Raw genomic sequence first — 22,818 nt, forward strand, 5'->3', positions numbered from 1 at the left:
CCACCACCTGAGTATGCAAGGAAGTGGTTAAGAGTGAAGACCTAGGCCAGGCATGGTGGCTCATGCCTGTAATCCCAGCACTTTGGGAGGCCAAGACCGGCAGATGGTTTGAGTTCATGAGTTCAAGACCAGCCTGGGCAACATGGAGAAATTCCATTACAAAAATAATAATAATAACAAAAAAATTAGCCGGGCATGGTGGTATGTGCCTGTAGTCCCAGCTACTCGGGAGGCTGAGGTGGGAGAATGGCTTGAACCCGGGAGGTGGAGGTTGTAGTGAGCCGAGATCGCGCCACTGCACTCCAGCCTGGGTGACAGAGCCAGACCTTGTTTCAAAAAAAAAGAAAAAGTGGAGGAGACCTGAGGGCCCAGCTACCCAAGTCTGAATCCCAGCTCTCTCACTTAACTATCTGTGTGACCTTGGGCAAATTAACTAACCTCTCTGTGCCTCAATTCCATCATCTGTAAAATCCAGATCATCATAACCACCTATATCATTGGTTATTGTGAAGATTAAATGAGATAATGCATGTACCAGACTGAGCAGAATGTTCTCTGCTGTTTCCTATGTGCTTGGAAAGTGTTCTCTATTATTAAGTCAAATTCACCAGAAGGCTGCTTGGCAAGCCCAGAATCAGAACAAAGAGGCCTTGAGGGGATAATTTCCCTTCACTTGGGAGACATCAGTGAAATATCCCTCGTTCCCCACAGCAATGAACACCCTCTCGTCACCAGACTGCTCTTCATGTCCTATGCACCCCCCTCCGAGGCCAGGCTGCACATCCTGCTCCTCTGAAGCCCTTTTTCTGTGTGAACCACCTCTTGTCTGGGGACCCATTTTTTTCTTTCTGTTTAAAGTGCAGCGTCTTCCCACAGTCCTAGTAAGCATTCTCTCTCCACCCCACCCCCACCCAGTTCAGTGTGGATTCACTCTCCAAGCTTTGGCTGGGGCACCCAAGGTCAGAGCCCATGTGCAGAAATCACATTACCTTCCCTGTGAATCACAACCCATCATTTCATATTGGTGTCAACAAGATTTAAATCTTGCAGTAAGAGCTACACATGCATTTTACAATTGTAACATTCCTGCTTTTTTTCTTTCTTTTTTTTAGTTTAGAGCACATGTAATTTCTAGGTTCATTGCTCTATTTGCCTCTCGCAATGGAAACTATACATGCTTGCATATTTTTTCACATGACAAGTACATATGCCGAGATAGTCCATGCTAATTCCTTTGATCTCAGTTTTTTTTGCTTAGCTGAAAGTTGTCTTCTTCCATTTTGACCATCATATTTTTGGAGAACTGGCTTTGAAAATCTCCTAGCCTGGGCATATATCTGTTGACTTTACATTTCCCCTTTTGATTTCCAGAAACACCTTAAGCTTAATATGTCTAAAAACAAATTTATATCTTACCTGTCAAACTAGGTCTTCTTCCAGAGTAGCTTCATTTGAGTGATGGCCCCTCCTTCTACACATCTGGACAAGCTAGAATATAGTGGTCCTTCTTGACACCTTCTCTCCCTTGCCTGGCATATGCAATCCGTCCTCAAGATTTTAGCTCCTGAACATCCCCTGAATCCATTCACTTCTCTCCATCTCTAATGCCTCAACCCTACCTAGTCCAAGCCCCCTTGTTTTCTGACCTAGACTATAACAAGAGCCTCCTGACTGGTCTCAAAACCTGAGGCTCCATTCTCTTATTGACCATTACTGAGAAAGGAAGCTTATTCTGTCGTTCAGATTGTCTAGCTGTGGTTTCTAACCTTCTTGCACATCAAATCACCAGGCATCCTTGCTAAAATGCATCATTCACCTGTGGAAATTCTAATTCATTAGGTCTTGAGTAGGATTCCAGGATCTGTATATTTAATAAACACCCTATTCTGATACAGCAAGTCTATGAAATTTGCACTTGAGAGTCATTGGCTACAGCTCACCAGCACCACACTTGGCCCATTTTACAGATAGCCAAACATGTTTCCTACATGAATCAAGGAGTCAGTACCAATCTGACAAATTATTGAGCCCCCACTATGTGCCAGGCTGTTCAGGCACTAGCGATGGAGCAAAGAGTGAAACAGACAAAAATCCCTTTCTTCACTGTGCTTATGTTCTAGTGGTAGGAGACAAATAAAACAAAAAATAAAATGTAAGGAACACTAGAAGGCAATAAGTGCTATGGAGAAAAATTAAGCAAGTCAAAGGATTTGCAGGGAGCAGGGGTATGGAATAGAGCTATGGAGGGAGTGATATGGTTTGGCTTTGTGTCCACACCCAAATCTCATCTTGAATAATGTAATAGTTCCTATAATCTCCACCTGTTGAGGGAGGGACCTGGTGGGAGGTAACTGAATCTTGGGGATGGGTTTTTCCCATGCTGTTCTCGTGATAGTGAATAAGTCTCAAAGATCTGATGGTTTTATAAAGGGTAGTTCCCCTTCACACACTCTCTTGCCTGCTGCCATGTAAGACTTGCCTTTGCTCCTCCTTTGCCTTCCACCATGATCGTGAGGCCTCCCCAGCCATGTGGAACTGTGAGTCCATTAAACCTCTTTTTCTTTACAAATTACCCGATCTTGGGTATGTCTTTACAAGCAGCATGAGAATGGACTAACAGAGAGGCAAGTTGCAGTTCCCAGACGGTCATGAAAGACCTCACTGGGAAAGTGGCAATTGAGTAAAGACTAGAAGGAGAAGAGGAGCAAGCCATAAGGTAACTGGAAGAAGAGCTTTCCCAGATGAATTCTAGAGGGAGCAAGCAAACTTAGCTCTTCTAACATTCTCCAGAAGAAAAATATATTCTACAGATCCCATGTTCATGCTCAGTCTTCAACTCCAAGCTGGAAAACATATTCCCAATAAAATATGGTATTTCTCACCTTCTTGTTATTGCTCTGCCTGAAAACCTGCCCTGAACCCCTCAGCTTTTAAGCTTTACTAACTCAGGTTTTTTATGCTCCACCCTATCTGGGTGTCCTTTTACTATAGGTAGCTAGAACACCACATTGTATTTTCCGGCTTACATGCTTGTCTCCCCATCTCCAAGACCAGACTTCAGGTTGTTTGTCTCTTTCTTATCTATTATCATTTACTTGGTGCATAGCAAAGTATTGGGCCAGATTAGATTCTTAATAAGTATTAAGTGCAGAAAAGAAAGAATGAGGAAGGAAAGAGGAATGGAAGGGAAGAATCAAGATAGGAGGGAGGAAGAAAGGAAGGAGGGAGGGAAGAAGGAAGATGGAAGCAAAGAAGGCAGCCCTAATTTTGTGTTAAATGCAAAGACAGGCATTACACGCTGGTAGATTTGCAAACCCAGGACTCCTGCCAGGAGTCCTGCCTCAGTCCTATAAAAAGGAACCCTGAGGCTGGGTACAGTGGCTCATGCCTGTAATCCCAGCACTTTGGGAGGCCGAGGCAGGTAGATCATGAGGCCAGGAGTTTGAGACCAGCCTGACCAACATGCTGAAACCCCATCTGTACTAAAAATACAAAAAAAATTAGCCTGGCATGGTGGCGCATGCCTGTAATCCCAGCTACTCAGGAGGCTGAGGCAGGAGAATTGCTTGAACCCAGGAGGCAGAGGTTGCAATGAGCTGAGATCGTGCCACTGCACTCCAGCCTGGGCGACAGGGAGAGACTTTGTCTCAAAAATAAAAAATAAAATAAAGGAACCCTGATTCTTCTATCATCCTTGAACAGTCTCTGTGGAATTGCCTGCAGGTGCAGGTGGGTGATCATAAGATATGGTAACAGTAATAATAATCTCCATAAGCAGTCCTCTCTTCTGGCTCCCCCAGACTGTCCTTCATCTTCTCTTTTTGTACTTACTCTGCTCTTGCTTCCTCCTCTCTCTTTTTCTTGCTTTCTCAGCAGGGGTAGGAAATGTCCAGGGCTTCAGAGGCTCCATAATTCCCAGGAGTTCAGGCTCTTTGACAAAGTGCCTCCTGAGCTGGCCACAAATGAACCTGGGGCCTCTTGTCCCTCTGGTGCTACTGGAGGGTCTTTTAAGGATGCCCACTGGCCAGGGTCACCATGTTGCACAGCACCAGGGAGGCCATTCTTACTGGGCTGCAAGAAGGAGCTTTTTTCCCACATGATCAGCAGGCCTAAAGGGAAGTGTGTTTGATCCCTGTGTCCACATGACTCTTTCTTATCCGCTGCACAGATACCCCTTCTCCATAGCAGCTATCTGTCCTCCTTTACCCCACCATCATCCTACGTGCCCGACACTCCCAAGGAAACCTTCCTTCCATTGGATTTTTTCCACCATCTGAAAAATAAAACTTTACTACAGGGAGTGGAGACTGGGCTAAACAGCCTTGGAATGAGAGAGAAAAGTCATGAAAAAGGTGAAATTGAAAGAGGTGAGGGGTCTACCTTGAGTGCATGCAGGGCCTCTGATTCTGGAAGCTCTGGAGAAACTTGACACCAAGGCCAGGTCCTGAGCCAGGGCAGGGGAGGGAGTAAACCATCTTCCCCAGCAGGAAGTGAGGGAGAGAGGGAGAGTGAGCTAGGGAAGCGCTCTGTTTTCTTTGGCCTCCTCTAGCCCTGGAGGGAACTCAGAGAGAGGGAGAGGGGCTGGAGGGAGGAGGATGGGGCTGTCAGGGAGATCCGGCTTTTGTGTCCTACCCTCCCCCAGGAACTGGAGACTGGAGCAGGGGCATTGGAGCAGGCACCCAGGCCAGGCCAAGGTTTCTCCCTGCTGCTCCCTGTAAAGCATGGAAGGGAGCTATCAGATCGGAGTTGTGTCAGATCAGACTCTCTGGGGACACAGAGTCCTGGAATCAGAGGCCAGTCCAGGGAGAATGTGGAGTCTGTTAGGGAGAAAGCCGGCTGGAGGTGGGAGGCCTGGGGCTTAGGTGTAGGACGAATGAACCTACCAGAACTGAAACAGCTGGGCAGCCACAGTGAGTTCCCTACATTCTCTCCAGCCTTGATCTTCTAGGCTTTTCCACAAGGGAGGCCTTGACCTTGTACACTGCTCTGTCCCCCAAAACAGAGCCTGGAGGAGTTATCCTGGCAATAGCTCAGGCTGAGGTAGACAAGTTCAGCCCCTGAGGAAGCCAGAATTTTAGAGCCCCCGTGTGTCTCCTGAGTGTATGCTGAGATATAGACAGATGTAGGCATTCTATTTCTAACAGAAAGAACTTCCTTAAAGCCAACTCCCCCTCTAACCCTAATTCTCCCAGAGATTTGCATCCCACATATGATCCTGACCCCAAGCTCAATCCTAAAACCATCCCTCACAGGAACTCCACACCAGTCTCAACCCAAACACTTCAAAATCACTGAATTTAATCCCACACATTTATCCTCATCCAAATTCTAAACCTTACTCTCACCCCAAATCCGGACTGTCACCTTGATCTGCATCACAAACCTGACTACTATAGGTATCTGTTGTGAGGTGAGAATTAACAAAAAGGAAAAGTTAACATGTATTGTACAGTTATAAGGTGTTTGCAGTATATAAGGCTTTTTCTATTTATTGCCATATTTACTTAATAGCAACCCTATGAGTTAGACATTACTATTATCACCATTTTACAGATTAGAAAACCAAGGCTTAAAAAGATTAAGCTAGTTACTCAGGTAAGGCGCCTCTAGCCTGGGAGGTGACTGCTGGAATGATCTACTCCCACCAGCAGTATCTTGCAGAGTGAATAAGAGGCTTCGGCTAGGAGAACTTCAATCTGCATAGGGAATATTATGGCTGCCGTAGAAGCCACACCAAGCCCTGTCAGATGAGATCCAGATGGGGTCTCTGCTCAGATATCAAGTGAGAGTTGGCCCTGAGGATTCAGAGCCCGGAAACACACTGCAGAGTGACACAAGAATCATAGCACAGATAGGCAGGATCGAATCCAGAAAAATCACCCCAAAGCTAGTTAGCCCCCAGCTCCACAGAACCACCAAGGATCCCACAACTGCAGTCCCCATTCCACCACTTTGGGGGTCCTCTTTCTAATCTAACTGGGCTCAGCTAATTTTCCAAACCTCCCTGGAAAAGCAGCCAGATAAAATGGCATTCTAAATCACAAGTTCCCCAAGCCTTCCAGTACACAGTGAGGAGAGTCCTTAATCAGGACAAGGATGACAACCTTCTAAGCACAGTGTTTACCCCATGCACACATGCACAGATGGGCTTGTTCATACATTCATACACTGTCCTGGTCGGGTCCTCTCCAGTGTCTTTTCTCTGCCCCAAACCTTATGGTTTCTCTAGTACAATGAGGAAAGCCCACAGCAGGTCTACCTCCTTCATCCTAGAAGACCTCACTCAGGGGCATGCTGGCCTGCAAGAATCCATGGACATCAGCAGGTCTGGCCAGACTAGAAGAAAGGCATCTACTCTCTGGAGTCCTCCATTCCTTCCTGGGTCAGGCTTTGAGTCAGGGTTTTTATGGCCAGGATATCTGTCCAACCATGAAGGACCACATCAAGACACGCTCAGAGCCCCGACCCATACCACTCTCCATCAGTCTGGAAAATGTGATCCAGCCAGGACACCCTGGATGCAAAGAAACCTATCCAGAGACCAGCAGAGGGACCTAGCCTATGGCCCGAAGCGCTCTGGCTTAAAAGCCAACAGAAGTCCCTCATGGATACTGGAGACCGGCCTGCAAGCACTGGACTTCTTGCCCACACAACCCTTGGCCCATGTGTTGCATGTTGGCATGACTTACAGCCTCTCCCAAACCAGGCTGGGGACCCCAAGACAGCCTGGGTTTACCTCCTGAATCCACCTGCGTCCAATCCCATCTTGTTCTTCCTCCTCCTACCTCCCACATTCATCTCCCTCTCATATCCAACCTGAGCATTCCTTTTCTTCTGCCCTCATCCTCATTTGTCATTTGGGACCCATAAAGTGGAGTCAGTAATAATAATAAGTATAATTGGCTCCTGGAGGAGAGAGGTGAGTGGGCGAAGCAGAGTAGACCTAGAGGAGGGAGAAGACCTGAAGAGGGAGATGCAGGGGCTCTCATGGAATGGCTCCCTGGTTGTCTTTGTCTGAAACTTAAGAGCCAGGAATCCATGTCTGCAAAGAGATGGTGGCCTGTGACATGGAGTCTTCCCAAGCCCTCCTGTAGAAATTGACAGCTCTTAGGGCTGGGAACCCACCATGCCCAGATCCCCTCCCGATTCCACAGATGCAGATAAAAGAATAGAAGTAACCAGCTCCCAGAGGGGTGGATGCAGATGTGGCCATCAGCACCCCAGATGTGGCTCAGCCATGGTCGCCGCCAGGGCTGCTGTGACTATGAACAGGAATGTAAACCCAGATGGGGGTGGGGATGGGAGCTGGAGGGGACAGAGCTGTTTCGGGGCTCCAGGAAGAACACAGCTCTGGGAAAGAGAGGGGTCTTGTGTCTGACTTCATAAAAATGCTCAGCCTGTTCCTGGGGAAAATAGATTGCTGCAAATAGATATTCCACCCTCATCCACCCGAGCTTCATTACCCCGTTCTAATCTCTCCTCCAACTCCTGCTGCCCATCCTGACCTCAACTTCATTAGGACCCTTCTCCACTGGTGGCCAAGGCAGCCTCTTTGGCCACTTCCTGCCACGGAAGGGAGGGCAGCAACAACTGCCTCCATCTCTGGAAAATGGAGGGAAATGTCAGTTTCGGCCTGGCAGGTCAGCCTCTGTCCTAAGCCTCGCTAATACCCAGCATTCCAGGCACCATAAAGATGAAGGGTCCCACAGCCCTGCTCACCAGCTCCTGCACATAAACACCCCCATTGATAAAGCTCCCTACACCATTGCACACGAGGCCCATTTACTTTCTACTTTGTTTTGAATTTTCATCTCAGGAGAAGCTTGCAAATCGCTAACAGCAGGAACTTTCCGGAAGTTGTAGAATATAATCAGTGCATTCTCAGATTTGTCACGCTCAGACAGAGCTTCCCCAAGGAGTCACCTATCAGGGAGCAGAGGAGGCAGGAGGCTGAACGTAGCCAACAGAGCCTGTGATGGGAAGAAGCCAGGGAGCCTGGCCCAGCCCCTGCCTCTGGGTAAGCTTGGCCTGCATCCTGCCCAGCCCCCATCTGGGTCCTGTTTGTGAAAATGAGGTGAGCAGCCCACACTCTGCTATTTTGGGAGGATTAGCTATCTCAACATAGAACATCTTTCCTGGGCAGGAAGTTCTTCTTTAAATATAGCCTGAACCCCTCCTATTGCAGAATCAGTCATTTCCTATGGTCAGGCCTCAGGAGAGGGGAGGTGGAAGAAGACAGCTGTCCCTGTCCTCCGCTAAGGAGCCACAGCCACAGTGCTGAGCTTGCCAAGTCCCCCAACTAACACACTTCTTGTCTGCATGCTACATAGACCTATTCGCTCGCAGAGTGCAGCTCTCAGATCAACCTGCCTCTGAGTGGACGGCCTAGGACTGGGTTTTTCAGCAAGACCCTGTCTCTTCGTGGGGATCCCTAGAGAAGGCTTTCTGCAATGACCTCTTTTAGAAAAAGTAATCCTCTTCTTCCAGTCATCTCCAATGAACCAAACAAATACTTGTCTGCTAGGTGCTTCATATATATATACAGAGAGAGAGAGAGAAAGAGAGACAGAGACAGAGTCTTATGTTGTCACCCAGGCTAAAGTGCAGTGGCATGATCACTGCTTACTGCAGCCTCCTGAGTAACTGGAATCACAAGCACATGCCATCAAATCCAGCTTTTTTTTTTTTTTTAAGAGATGAGGTTTCGCCATGTTGCCCAGGCTAGTCTCAAACTCCTGAGCTCAAGCTATGCTCCCGCTTCAACCTCCCAAAGTGCTGGGATTACAGGCGTGAGCTACTATGCCCAGTCTTTATATACTTTAGCACATTTAATTTCATCTCTACAACCCTACAAGTGAGAAAATACCACCAACATCTTGAACGTGAGGAAACCACCTGAGAGAGAGTAAAAAATTTACCTGAGGTTACAGAGTTGATAGATGACAGGGCCAGGATAGGAACCCAGGTCTGAGCCCTCAACCTACACTTTCTCCTCCCACCTGAGGAGACAGGAGGGCTGGACCTGACATTCGCTGAGTGGGCAGAGGAAAGAGGAGGCACACATGCAGTCACAGTGCTCAGCTGAGACTCCCCTGGCTGCCTTCCTGACAAGCCAGCATCTGGGTTCACCCCAGCTCTCACACCTTCTCACAGCCCAGGGAACAGGATTTCAGCAGCCCAGCAAGGTCAAAGGGCAGCCAGAAACATTGCTTCCTCCTTTATCTTAAGAGAAGAAGGAATCGCTTTTAGACTTCCACCTGGAATTATAGATTTAGAAGGATTATTCATGTCAGATGGGTTTAAACAAAGGAAGGCTTCCAGGAAGAGAAGAGACTATGGCCAGTTTTACAAAGAAGTGAAATTCTCTGTGGCAGAAAGCAGGGAGAAGCAAGCCCCAGAGCAGAGAACGGACCAAATCAAGTCTGGAGAAGCAGGCCACCCTCGTGGGGAAGGGCTGGGGCGCCAGAAATGGACACGCACACGATGTGGGGCTCAGCGGGCCATCTGCAGTTCTCCCATCCCAGGGCCCAGAATCCGGATCCCCTGATCCCCGAGGGGGTCGGCTGCAGCAGCCCTCCTCAGGCAGTCTACTCCACATTCCTCACATTCTTTACGCTCAATTAAGGAGAAATAATCAGGGGAGCAAGCAGGCCACAGCAGGATGGCCATGCCCCACGCCATTGGGATCACGTGTGCAGAAAAGCCCCGCAGACCCCAGACCAGAGGGGCCTTGGGGGGAAAAGGGAATCAAGCAGCGAGGACAACGGTGCCCCTCTGCGCTCCACAGAGACAAAGGAGAGCGAAGAAAGGCAGGCAGGGGGGAGATCAGGAAAGAAAAGGAGAGGAGAAGGCAAGGTCAGAGCAAAGGGAAGATGTGCAGCCCAAAGCCCTCAGCCATCGTTTCCTAATCATGCCATTGCTTCACCGCAATCACCATCCATCACCATCATCAAATGCCCTTTGAGACCCAGGGATGCTCAAAATGTTACCCGCCTTCATCAGTTAGTGGCATGTGCTGATTAAGTGTGTCATGGGAATAGGGCCTCTCTGGGGTCTTCAAAATACACTGTCTTTAGTCTGCAGGGGGATGCCATTCTTGGCCTCAGTGGAACATGCTTATTTCCTCCTCCTGGACCCAGTGAGTCTGATCAGCCAAGCAAGCTCCTACTCCCTCAAGCCTCTGTCCCTGGGCTGCCTCCCTCCCCATCTCCAGAGCCTTCCAGACTTCCCCAGTGCCCAGCAGACCCAGAGCCTATTTCTGGGTTCCCCCTTCAGTCCCCAGAAGACCCAGAGTCTCTTTCTGGGTTCCCCTTTCAGTCCCCAGCAGACCCAGAGTCTCTTTCTGGGTTCCCCATTCAGTCTCCAGAAGACCCAGAGTCTCTTTCCAGTTTCCCCCTTCATCTGGTACATGTAACCAGCGCAGCTTTTATCATGCTGTTCTGTAATTGTAGGTGTTTATATCTTTATCCCTACCAGAATGAATAACTAAATGAATGATCATTATTATCTACTGAGCATGTTCTATGTGCCAGGCACTTGTTAGCCCTTGAGAGATGACCTCATTTAATCCTTTTAACATCCTAGAGGTCATTCATATTATTATACCCAATTTACCCATGAGGAAGTTGAGACTGAGAAAGATCAAGTAACTTGTCCACAGTGACCCAGCTAGTAAATCAAAGAAGGGAACCTTGAACACAGGATTGTAAAATGCCAAAGCACATGCTATTATTCTGACACTAAGGTACCTGGGGACAGCACCTTAGCCTTGCTTACCACAGCATGGCAAAGAATAGGTGCTCAATATATGGGATGGCTGGCTGGCTGGATAGATGGATGATGTGTGCTCTGAAGAGTTTCAGCAGTGGAGCTGAGCCAAAAACTCTTCCCACCTCCTTTATGATCAATGAGTCAAATTTGTGAAAGGATTTGTTAGACCAAAGACAAATGTTATGCTCTTTGTTGAGTCTCAGATTATGACTACAGGTAGGGCACCATCTGTGTCCACTTAGGTCTCAGGATGTGGTCAGAGATGAGACCCAATTGATCATCAGGGTGGGAATCAGTCTGGGGCTAGGTTAGAGGATCAGTCTGTAGCTGGTGTAAGTTGGAGGAAGAGAACACATCTCTGCCAAGCTGACTTGGAACTGAATAGAGAATGGAAAGTTCTCAAGCCAGAGACCTTTGTTCCTGGACATTGAGGGCGGAGAGATGACATGTGTGAGAGTAACTTGGTGTGGGTGTGTGGGAGAGTGTGGACCAGAGGACTCCAGGAACGAGAGTGTGGGGACGGACCCACTAAGTGTGCACCATGTGATTTTGAGTGCCACATACATGAGAGTGCATGGTGTGGCACATGTGTGTGCTGTGTGTGTTGGGATGACAGAGGCTGGGAAGGGTGTGAGAGAGACAAGCACACACCTGTAATAACATTGGCTTCAGACGCTAGGAGAGAAGGAATTCCCCCAACTGTTTTATCAGAGCCGAAGTTACCAAATTACGTTGTTGTTTTAAATTTGAGCTTCTCTGCCTGCAAATGGGGGGCTCTCAGGTTCACGAGCTTAATGCTTGGCTGGGTCTGGAGCTCCACTTCCCAATCCAATCGGGGCTCCCAGAGCTCCCAGGCCCAAGAAACAAAAGTCTTCTCTCTCAGGGCTTTGAAGTGGAAACACTAACTGCTCCCTTTAATTAGAAAGAAACCCCCTATTGTTCCCGCTTTATTACTGATGGATGAAGACATAGCAGCGGGGGCAGAGTCTCAAGGAAGGGGGAGGGGAGCTGAGAAAGGAGTGGAGGGGGCCCAAAAAAAAATCTCTATTTGGAATAGAGATTCTCCACACTTGGTCTCCATGTGCAAACCAGACCTCTTTCAGCACCTAGTCCACAAAGATTTTACTGGACATTTGGCCTTCTACTCGACGTTATAGGAAAGACAGAAAGAGTCTCAGCCCTCAACCAGTTCATAATCTAGATAAAACAGGGCAGGGGGAGAAGAATGAAAGATAATTGATATTAAATCAGTCCTGCAGGCTGGGTGCGGTAGCTCACGCCTGTAATCCTAGCACTTTGGGAGGATGAGGTGGGTGGATCGAGGCAGGAGAATCGCTTGAACCCGGGGGTGGGGGCGGGGGCGGGGGCGGAAGTTGTATTGAGCCCAGATCGCACCACTTCACGCCAGCCTGGGCAAAAGAGTGAAACTCCGTCACACATACACACACACACACACACACACACACACACACACAATCAGTCCTGCAATACAAGCACTAAGAACTTAGGATAAATAGAGTGGGGAGATAGGTCCATAAGACAATCTTCTAAGAAAATACTGGGGGTGGCTGCCTGGGACCTGAGCTGGATGCTGCAGACTGGGGAGACTGGCAGAAAGACTAGGGGAGGGTACTCCCACGCCAAGCAGAGTAAATGGAATGTGCAAAGGCACAGAAGGAATGGACACAGCTTCTTTGGAGGAAGCGGGTCTGGTTATGGAGAAGGGTGCGTGTAAGCGAACTAAGGGAAATGAGGTTGGGTACAGCAGATGGAACAGAGGAGTGAAAGACTTTGAAAGTGTTAACGGAAAAAGGTCCCAATTCAGACCCCAAGAGAGGGTTCTTGTATCTCTCACAAGAAATAATTTGGGGCCGGGCGCGGTGGCTCACGCCTGTAATCCCAGCACTTTGGGAGGCCGAGGCGGGCGGATCACGAGGTCAGGAGATCGAGACCATCCCGGCTAGAACGGTGAAACCCCGTCTCTACTAAAAATACAAAAAATTAGCCGGGCATGGTGGCGGGCGCCTGTAGTCCCAGCTACTTGGGAGGCTGAGGCAGGAGAATGGCGTGAACCCGGGAGGCGGAGCTTGCAGTGAGCCGAGATCCCGCCACTGCACTCCAGCCTGGGCGACAGAGCGAGACTCCGTCTCAAAAAAAAAAAAAAGAAATAATTTGGGGCGAGTCCATACTGTAAAGTGAACGCAAGTTTATTAAGAAAGTAAAGGAGCAGGCTGGGCACGGTGGCTCACACCTGTAATCCCAGCATTTTGGGAGGCAGAGACAGGCGAATCATTTGAGGTCAGGAGTTTGAGACCAGCCTGGCCAACACGGTAAATCCCCATCTCCACTAAAAATACAAAAAATTAGCGGGGCATGGTAGCGCGTGCCTGTAGTCCCAGCTACTCAGGAGGCTGAGGCAGGAAAATCACCTGAACCCAGGATGCACAGATTGCAGTGAGCGGAGATCATGCCACTGCACTCCAGCCTAGGCAACAGAGCCAAACTCTATCTCAAAAAAAAAAAAAAAAATTTAAGGAATAAAGAATGGCTATTCCATAGGCAGAGCAGCAGCTTGGGCTGCTGGACTAAGGATACTTACAGTTATTTCTTGATTATATGCTAAAAAAGGGGTGGATTATTCATGAGTTTTCCGGGAAAGGGGTGGGCAATTCCTGGAGCTGAGGGTTTCTCCCTTTTTTAGACCATATGGGGTAACTTCCTGAGGTTGCCACGACGTTTGTAAACTGTCATGGCTCTGGTGGGAGTGTCTCTTAGCATACTAATGTATTATAACTAGCATATAATGAGCCATGAGGATGACCAGAGGACACTCTCGTCACCATCTTGGTTTTGGTGGGATTTGGCCAGCTTCTTTACTGCAAACTGTTTTATCAGCAAGGTCTTTATGATGTGTATTTTGTGCCGACCTCCTATCTTATCCGATGACTTAGAATGCCTAACCTCCTGGGAATGCAACCCAGTAGATCTCAGCCTTATTTAACCCAGTCCCTATTCTAGATGGAGTTGCTCTGGTTCAAACATCTCTGACAAAAGCACATAGGGAAAATGGCCCTGATGAGATCATTAAGGAGCCACTAGGCCATCTTGAGCCAGGAAGTGACCGAATAAAAGGTGGCTCTTGGGCAGATTAATATGGTAGCCCCATGCAGGAAGTCATGGAGGGGAGAAAGAGCAAAGGTGGAAAGACCAGCTGAGGAGCTCCAGCAGAAACTCAGATAATTATGGCTTAGACTAAGATGATGGCAGTGGGACTAGGAAAGAGAAGGTAAGTCTGGGATAGATTTTAAAGGAAGAAACAAGGTGTGTTGACAGAATATATATGAGATAATATAGGAAGGAGTCAAAGACACCTCCAAAATCTCTCGTCTGGGAGGACAGAAGGGTGGTGGAGGGGGGAAGGGGAATGGAAGCTGCCCTTGAGGGAAAGTGGGGAGCCAGAGGAGTTAATAAGTAAATCCCCCAAAAACTTCATTCTCTCTTCCAGAGTCAAAAGATATCCTGAACCCAGTACTCAGGGAACAGTAACTCCAGGGTAGGAAGGCCCTGTTCATTGAGACTGGGAACATCATTAACAAAAACAACCTTTGTATAATTTGTTCTTCATGCACTTCAAAGTGATTCACACCTATGCCTCATTTGATCTGCAAAACAACTACCACAGGTGTCATTATCCCCATTTTGCAGACGAAAAAAACTGAGACCCAGAAAAGCTAAATAACTTGCTCAAAGTCACATAAGTAGTTTAGGCCTGAGTTGAGAGCAGAAGCCTCTGACTTTCAGCTCAGAACCCCTCCCAGTGCCTATTAGCCGACCAGACCAGGGGAGGGGAGAGGCCTGGAGCTGCCTGTGCCCTGAGTCACTGGGGGCCAGGAGTCTGGGGCTTGGAGAGAGGGTCCACCCCCAAGTTCAACCACACCCTCAGCCTACTCCTCACACTCACATAGGGCGTAAGTCGGGAGCCCAGGGTTGGAAACGCCAAGTCTAATCAGACCTCACAAGCCCACAGATGGTTTGAATCAACATGCTACCTTGATAGGAATAATGAGGAGTCCCAAAGACAGTCTTATGCCAGCTCCATCCATCTGGACACAGAACCACTTCTTCCACAAGAGTTTCCCTGTCCAGGGTCCCATCATCCCCTAAGCCTGGCAAATGCTTCATGAGGCAGTCCCTGGTCCCACATCAACACCTGCTCCCTGGCCTCCACCAGCAGAACCACCCACAGGTTTTCCAAAATCTCTGGCCTTCTGATTTGACAAGCTCTGACTTCTTAGGCGTTTCTTGAGGCTGAAAAGGATTGCTAGGGAGAAATGACTAGCCGGGGGTTATAGGCTGGGAAGGGGGTGTGGAGCAATGTGGTGGGGTCAGTAAGCCTGGATCCAGACAAACACAGACCAGACCGATGTCCTGCCCACTTCCTGGCAGAGTGAGTGTCCCCAGCATTCATCGTTTTATTCACTCACATCACAAATATCATCATGACATTTCTTTTGATGGGACACCTAATCTAGGGCACCCAAATCCCATGCGATCTGGGATTTATAAACGTACAAGGTCACAGTGCCCCAGGAACAGAATCAGACCTATGATTTAGAAAAACCTTACCTGTTACTGGGGGAGCCTGTTAGAGCCAGGCCCTCAGAACAGTGGCAGTGGCTCTTCCCCATGGAAACCTCAGGCCTGGGCTCCCAACCCCTGATGTGCAGCCCTTTGCGCAGAGACCTGTTTTAACGAGAATCTGGCCCTGCCCAAACCCTAGCCTCGCAAAGCTTGATTGGAAGCTTAAAAAACAATGAAGTTAATTTTTAAAAACCTTTCATTGAGTTCCATGAGACCCCTATTAATTTTATTGTTTCAATAAAGCATTTATTTAATTGTCTCCAGAAGGGCCCTGTTAAATGCACAGATGTTACCTGAGTCAGAAGGGAGGGATATGGGTGCCTTTTTTTCACCCTTTCCCGTTAGCACTTTAGCAGGATTCTGTTATTGGATTAACTGATTGTCACCTTCAAAGTCACAAAGGACAGCCCTGTGCAAATACGACACAAGGCAGGTAAATTCTGAAGAGCAGGGCGGGTCACAGTTGCAGGAAACAGGAAACCCAGCTCCTGATAAAGATGCTGGGTTTGGTTACTCCAGAGGAGAGGGGCCAGGCACGGTGGCTCATGCCTGCAATCCCAGCACTTTGGGAGGCTGAGATGGGCGGATCACGAGGTCAGGTGATCGAGACCATCCTGGCTAACACAGTGAAACCCCATCTCTACTAAAAAAAAAAAATACAAAAAATTAGCCTGGCATGGTGGCGGGTGCCTGTAGTCCCAGCTACTCAGGAGGCTGAGCCAGGAGAATGGTGTGAACCCAGGAGGCGGAGCTTGCAGGGAACCGAGATCGCACCACTGCACTCCAGCCTGGGCGACCGAGTGAGACTCCGTCTCAAAAAGAAAAAAAAAAGACAGAGGAGAGGATTTTCTTCTGCTGGTGAAGAGACACTTGCCATTTAGCCTCTGATACAAGAATGATATCCCTGAAAAAAAAAAATCAGAGGATGAGTGTATCACTAGATGCATGATGTCCAAAACACAGGAGGGGAAGGGCTCAGCTTGAGTTGGCAGAAGATCTCTGGAATGTCATGTTCAGTCCTTCTACATTTATTACTGAGCACCTACTATATGCTGCCACTGCTTGGTTCTTGGAGCATACATCGGTGAACAAAACAAAGACCCTCCTCTCGTGGTGCTTACATTCTAATGAAGAAAGACTAACAACAAAAAAGTAAAAATACGACAGACGTAGTAAGATACTTTCTGAGAATGTTAAGTGCTCTGAGAACATAAAACAGAGCAATGTGGTGTAGTGACCAGAAATACAAAATAAAAAATATTGACTAATTGCCTGTGGGCCATCAGTCCTGTCTGATGAGATGACATTTGAGCCTGAATACGGAGAAGCCAGACACAGGAAGGTCTGAGGGCTCAGAAGACCTTTCCAGGCAGAGGGAGCATCAAGTGCAGAGATCCTGGGGCTGCATTTGGAGAGGAGCATCACCAAACTACTAAGTAATCAGAGGAGTGTGATAGAGGGAGGGGCCTCAAAGACCTCTTTCAGCAAGAATGTTTCAAGAAATGCCTCAGGACTAAGGCTGCATCATTCATCTTTGTGTTTTTGGTTATTCACTTGGTGTCTAGCACAGAGTCAATGATCAATAAGGTAGGATGGAATGTGGGGAAGGGAATGAGAGGGAAGGGAAAGGTCAACACTTTGGGGGAACTACATTTAGTCAGGTTTTTTGTTTTTGTTTGTTTTGTTTTTAGAGAAGGGTCTCACTCTGTTACCCAGGCTGGAGTACAGGGGCTCCATCATGGCTCACTGCAGCCTCAAACTCCTGGGCTCAAGCGATCCTCCTGCCTTAGCCTCCTAAGTAGCAGGGACTACAGGCTCACTACCATACCCAGTTATTTATTTTTTTTTTTTTTAGAGACAGGGTCTCATTATGTTGCCCAGCCTGGTCTCAAACTCCTGGGTTCAAGTGATGCTCCCACTTTGGCTCCCAAAATGCTGAGATTACAGATGTGCACCATCGTGCCCAGCCTTGGTCAGATTATTGTTTATCTTGACAAGAGAGAGATTAAAAGAGAAGAGAAAAACAAACGAACAAAAGCTCAGTCTACATACTAAGTCATTTGTTACCAAGCTAAGGAGGTAGAGTGAAGGGGAGGGGATGGGGGGTACATATCTGGGTCCATTCAGGAGATGAACATTTAATTGAAGAAACAGTAATAACAACTGCTCCTGAGATTGTTATAGGCCCGGATTTATAGTTTACAAAACACTTTTACATACATTTACTTTTTCTGACAGCCTTGTGAAACAGAAAATAACAAATATTGACTAATTGCCTATGGGCCTTGACCCTGTGCCAGACGATAGGGAATGTATGTTGAGAAGAAATCAAACAGGGCCCTGCCCTCATGAAGTTTATAGAGTAGACTAATTTTAATCAAACAAACCATAAATGAGAGAAATCACAACCACAATGAGTGTTGCAATGGACAGGTACATAGGGCTGCCCATCACAAGGAGTGATTGAGCTGTCTGTCCATTAGGGAAGAGTCCTGCTTTGGTAAGGAGATTGGTTGAGACCAGTGACTCCGACTTTTTCACCACCAATAATCCCTTTTATGCTGAGTACAGTGGCTCACACCTCTATTCCCAATGCTTTGGAAGGCCAAGGCAGGAGAATCTCTTGAGGACTGCTTGAGGAGTTCAAGGCTGCTGTGATCTGTGATCATGTCAGTGAACTCCAGCCTGGGCAATAGAGCAAGACCCCATCTCTAAAAAACATTTTTAAACATAATTTTAAAGGGTCCCTTTTATTCATCCTCCTGCCCCACAAACCCCAGATTTTGAAAGAGCCCACCTACCTGGGTACATTTACATAACAACAAACTTATCTCCCCATTTTTCTTTTTTTTTTTTTCAGAAATGAAGATCTTGCTCTATTGCCCAGGCTGGAGCTGGAGCTCAATGGCACTATGATGGTTCACAGCAGCCTCAAACTCAAACTTTTGGGCTCAAGTGATCCTCCCACCTCAGCCTCCCATATAGCTGGGACTACAGGTATGCACCCCCACACTAGGCTACTTTTTAAATTTTTTACAGAGATGGGGTCTTATTATGTTGCCCAGGCTCAATCCTTTCACCTTGGCTTCCCAAAGTGCTAGGATTATAGGTGTGAGCCACCATGCCCAGTCTATTTCCAAATTTTTCTTAAGGAAAAACCAATGTCATTTGTCAAGATGAGATGCCCAATGCATGATATAATTCTGGCCATAGGCGAAGAAAGTTAACATTTCTCTTGAATGGCATTTCTTTTGACTGGACCGGCTTATTGTGAAATACATATAATTTCCTATAGGCTTTCTGGAATATTGACAATAGCTGGTAGCCATCCTCCTCCCAACACATTTGTAGACTCCTGGAAACCTTTGGGACCTAAGCTGGGAACTACTATTCTATACCCATACCCAAGATCCCTTTCAGTAAGGGGCCTCTCTAAACCATGAAGCATAGCCTTCTTGTGTTCAGGCATTTTGGAAAGAAGCAATGGATGTGGACTAGAGAGGTCATGGAAGGCTTTCAGGAAAAAGAAAGACTTGAGGCTGGGCACAGTGACTCACACCTGTAATCCTAGCACTTTGGGAGGCCAAGGCAGGTGGATCACCTGAGGTCAGGAGTTCAAGACCAGCCTGGCCAACATGGTGAAACCCTGCCTCTACTAAAAATACAAAAATTAGCCAGGCGTGGTGGCGGGCGCCTGTAATCCCAGCTACTCAGGAGGCTGAGGCAGGAGAATCACTTGAACCTGGGAGGCAAAGGTTGCAGTAAGCCGAGATTATGCCACTGCACTCCAGCCTGGGCAACAGAGTGAGACTCCATCTCAAAAAAAAGAAGAAGAAGAAGAAGGAAAGAAAAAGAAAGCCTTGAGATAGGCCTTGAAGGATGGACAAGCTTTGGCTAGGTGGAGAAAGGTCATCGTCAGGCAAGAGTTGCAGAGTTTGCTCTAAGATTAGTAAGGCAACCAGCCAGGCTTCAAAACAGAGTCAGGAAGCACTTGTGAATACAAGAAGTGAAGAGGTAGGTTGCAACGGACTTTAAATGCCAGGCTAAATTATCCTCCAAATGATGGGGAATCATCAAAGATTTTAGAACAGGAAAATGATGTGTTGGAAGCAATGTCGTTGGCAGATGAATCTGGTGCCCATACACGCTTCGAGGTGGGAAGAGAACATTTAGGAAACCAATCAACAGAGCAGACGTGAGAGGAAGAGCCAAGACTTGGGAGGACGGCAATGAGGAAAAACGGAGGAAATCCAAGAGATATTTTTTTAAAGCACAGGACTTGAATTTGAGTTTGGAAACATCAAAGAGACTCCAAGATGTCTAAGCTTGAAGCTGGTGGTACAGAAACAACAATCACCATGGGACGGTGGTGGAGGGAAGGAGATGATGAGTGCGTGTGGGATCTAAGAGAGCCTTTACACACCACATGGTTAACAGAGGTTACCTCTGGGGTTGGGGTTGGAGGGGCAGACGAGGTAGTTCGCACACTTTACTGCAGATAATCTCTTTTAATGGAGGGATTTTGTGTAATTTTTATTCCTTTTTTGTGCTTTTTGGAACTTTTCAAATAATTATTTTAATTCCACAGACTCCCAGGGTGTTGTTAACCCTTTATAAACCATCACTCCTGATTTCTTCTCTCTCCCCCCAGCGCCCTCTGGAGTCTCCGAGAAACACTTCATAGGTGTCTGGTCCTAGCTCCTGAGTCTGTGGTTTTCTTTATGGGGGGACAGGGGAGGATTCTCTTCAATGTGCCTCTTCCTGTCTCCCTCTTTTTTCCCCTACTGCTCCAGGAGGGCCTGCCTCTATCCTTTAAAGGCTTACACATCGTCAGACACTTATCTTTGAACCACGATTGCAGCGCTGGGCTTGGAAAGACTGACCTTGGGATTTTTGTAGCTGAACGAAGCCCAACCCAGCTTAGACCATGAACTAAAATGCAGGACAGAACCAGGAAGAACACAAGCTCTGCGGTCAGAGGCATCTGCATCCAAATTTGGGCTCTGCCTCCTAACAGTCTCTTTGGCCTTCTTACCTAACTAACCTCTCTTGGGTCAATTTTCTCATCTTGAAAATTGAAGATAATAACAGTATTTATCTCCTAGAGGTGGTAAGTGGATTAAGTGATAATGAAAGGCATTTAATAAGTGTGCTTTTTATTAGTATTAACAAGAACAATAAAATAATAAATCTTTATGACCAAACGTTGTTGCTTGGAGGCAAAAATGACCTTAATGAACTTCCATGTTGGTTCCCATTGGTGACATGTATTTGCTTCTCTGCCTCTCCCTTTGACTGGAATTTTCTATTTTCTCAAACCAACAAAAAGCTGAAAAAAGACCCTGAATCGGGGCCCGAGTCACTGCTTCTTCATTTCTCTGCCTCTTAGGATTGGTATGACAGTTGAACCTCAATTTCTTCATCTATACAATGGGTATAATCATTCTGCCCTCACAGTATGTGTCAAGAGGTTAGACAGCTCCTGGTGCACAGCAGGCTTTCAGGACACCATAGTTCTCCATCAGGGTTCCAGGAAGGGACCAGCCCTTTCTGAGTTCTTTCCTGCCTGTCCACTCCCGCCCCACGACCTACCCCATCTTCCACATTCTCCTTTGTATTAGCCCCTGATGGTTTGGGGCAAATCTTTCCAATTACACTATAAGCTCCTGAGGGCAGAAGCAGGGGCAAGGCCTTCTTAACTGTAAGGAGCAGTCTTTCTTCTGGGTTTGGGTCCAGGCTGGGCTCCTGGGGGACGCAGGGAAGGAGAGAATTGTCAGCCCCCTAGAGGTTCAGAACGAAAGGTACAAACTCAACAGCCCCTCTTTTCTTCCTCTTTTCTTTCCATTTCCCAAACTGCAGCCCTGAGGCCACTTGAAATAAACTGCTTCTTTCTACTTGACCATGGCCTAGAAACATGGCCCCATTGACTCAGGGTACATTTGGCTTTGTCAGAAAAGGTCTGATATGTTCACTCCTAACCACCCAGCCCCTATGCGTCCATCCCCATCACTTCTGGACAAAGACAAAGGCCTCTGCTCCATCAACCTTAGCCGCCTGAGTCCATCTGTCACTCGCTGATTGATGGCCAACTCTCCATCCCTCTACCTGCTGCTCATCTACCTGCTGTAGTCATCTGGCAGGGACTACAGAGGCCCAGGGGAGCAGCCCACACCTTTCCCACTCCCCTGTAGAGTCTCCAGAACACAGTCCCCAATCACCACAGGGTCCCCACCCCAAGGCTGCCCCCTCACCCCTTCTCTCCAGTGAGAGCTTTAAACAGGTACCTCTAAGCCTTCTCTGGGTCCACCAACCCCCTCTCTAGTCCTCAGCCCCACCCCCAGCTCCTCCAATCTCAAGAAACAGTGAAGGAGGGGGACACAGCTCAGAAAGCCAGAAAAGAGACAGAAAGACAAAGTGTCACAGAGCATCTCTTTGACTGGCGGGTGAGGCTGAGTAGGAGGGAGGCAGGAGGAAGAGAGAGCCAGGCACAGGAAGGGGTCTGAGAGAGACTCTGGGGGCCACAGACTCCGAGGCAGAGATAGAGAAGCCAGCCCAGGCGGTGAGGGCTCTGAGAGCCCACAGAGCCTTTTGGTTTCTGGGTTCCAGGAGGGCCTCCCCCTCTGACGGTCGTGGAGCTAAAATGGCTCATATTCCCATCCTGAAACCCATGGAGGGGAACTAAGCTCTTTTCCAGAAACGGGTGGAAGCATCTCTCCTGAGCCATGGCTTCCTCCGTCTTTGTTTGACTACTTTTCTCAGGATTCAGAATTTTTTGTCTATATGTTTCTTCATATTTATCTATCTCTGCACTCACACTTGCACACTCTCTTGCTCTCTCCTCTGTCTCTGCCTCCGATAATTTTTTGGGGACTCTGCCTTGGGGCTCCCGCTCTCCAGCATGCGGGAAACCTGACCTTCATCATCTGTTTTTTATATTTTGGAAATGTCAGCTTCACTTCCTACCTGAGGGAGGTGGGGGTGGAGGAGCGGGCTGCCTAGCTCCACCCTTTTCCCCCCTCTTTTCAGAATCAGTCCCCTCCCCTACAGCCTTGCTCCAGGGAGGACAAGCTGGGGCTGTCCCTGCTCTCAGACTCTGGCATCAGGAGGTTCAGCCCAGGTCCTGATTCATGGTCTTCCCTCTGAAGCTTACCACAGTGTAGCGAAAGTGGTGAGGCCTCCTGTGATGGACTACTGGTTTGCTGATTTGGGAAAAAGGGGAAATTCCAGGCACAAAAGAGCCCAGGAGGTTAAGAGATTTCACCTATGGGAACCAGGATAGAAAGTGGTTCAAGCCGGGCGCAGTGGCTCACACCTGTAATCCCAGCACTTTGGGAGGCCAAAGTGGGCAGATCACTTGAGGTCAGGAGTTTGAAACCAGCCTGGCCAACATGGTGAAACCCTGTCTCT

General features: G+C 47.9%; 6 annotated features.

The window, feature by feature from the left end:
• Nucleotides 7,767-8,066: an enhancer, noted in NCBI's record as "active region_15631". NCBI's record gives its function as "activates an Ori minimal core promoter by ATAC-STARR-seq in GM12878 lymphoblastoid cells {active_cell/tissue: GM12878}" and the evidence as "EXISTENCE:reporter gene assay evidence [ECO:0000049][PMID:35858748]".
• Nucleotides 8,087-8,376: an enhancer, noted in NCBI's record as "active region_15632". NCBI's record gives its function as "activates an Ori minimal core promoter by ATAC-STARR-seq in GM12878 lymphoblastoid cells {active_cell/tissue: GM12878}" and the evidence as "EXISTENCE:reporter gene assay evidence [ECO:0000049][PMID:35858748]".
• Nucleotides 8,397-8,586: an enhancer, noted in NCBI's record as "active region_15633". NCBI's record gives its function as "activates an Ori minimal core promoter by ATAC-STARR-seq in GM12878 lymphoblastoid cells {active_cell/tissue: GM12878}" and the evidence as "EXISTENCE:reporter gene assay evidence [ECO:0000049][PMID:35858748]".
• Nucleotides 9,007-9,106: a silencer, noted in NCBI's record as "silent region_11393". NCBI's record gives its function as "represses an Ori minimal core promoter by ATAC-STARR-seq in GM12878 lymphoblastoid cells {active_cell/tissue: GM12878}" and the evidence as "EXISTENCE:reporter gene assay evidence [ECO:0000049][PMID:35858748]".
• Nucleotides 11,426-11,976: an enhancer, noted in NCBI's record as "OCT4-NANOG-H3K4me1 hESC enhancer chr2:42259331-42259881 (GRCh37/hg19 assembly coordinates)". NCBI's record gives its function as "activates a minimal SCP1, AML or CMV promoter by ChIP-STARR-seq in naive and primed H9 embryonic stem cells {active_cell/tissue: H9 hESC(naive and primed)}" and the evidence as "EXISTENCE:reporter gene assay evidence [ECO:0000049][PMID:30033119]".
• Nucleotides 11,630-11,816: a silencer, noted in NCBI's record as "fragment chr2:42259535-42259721 (GRCh37/hg19 assembly coordinates)". NCBI's record gives its function as "represses an EF-1alpha promoter that drives an FKBP-Casp9 reporter gene in an ReSE screen in K562 erythroleukemia cells {active_cell/tissue: K562}" and the evidence as "EXISTENCE:reporter gene assay evidence [ECO:0000049][PMID:32094911]".

Source organism: Homo sapiens, chromosome 2 (genome assembly GCF_000001405.40).
Source record: "Homo sapiens chromosome 2, GRCh38.p14 Primary Assembly".
Taxonomy (NCBI): Eukaryota; Metazoa; Chordata; class Mammalia; order Primates; family Hominidae; genus Homo; species Homo sapiens.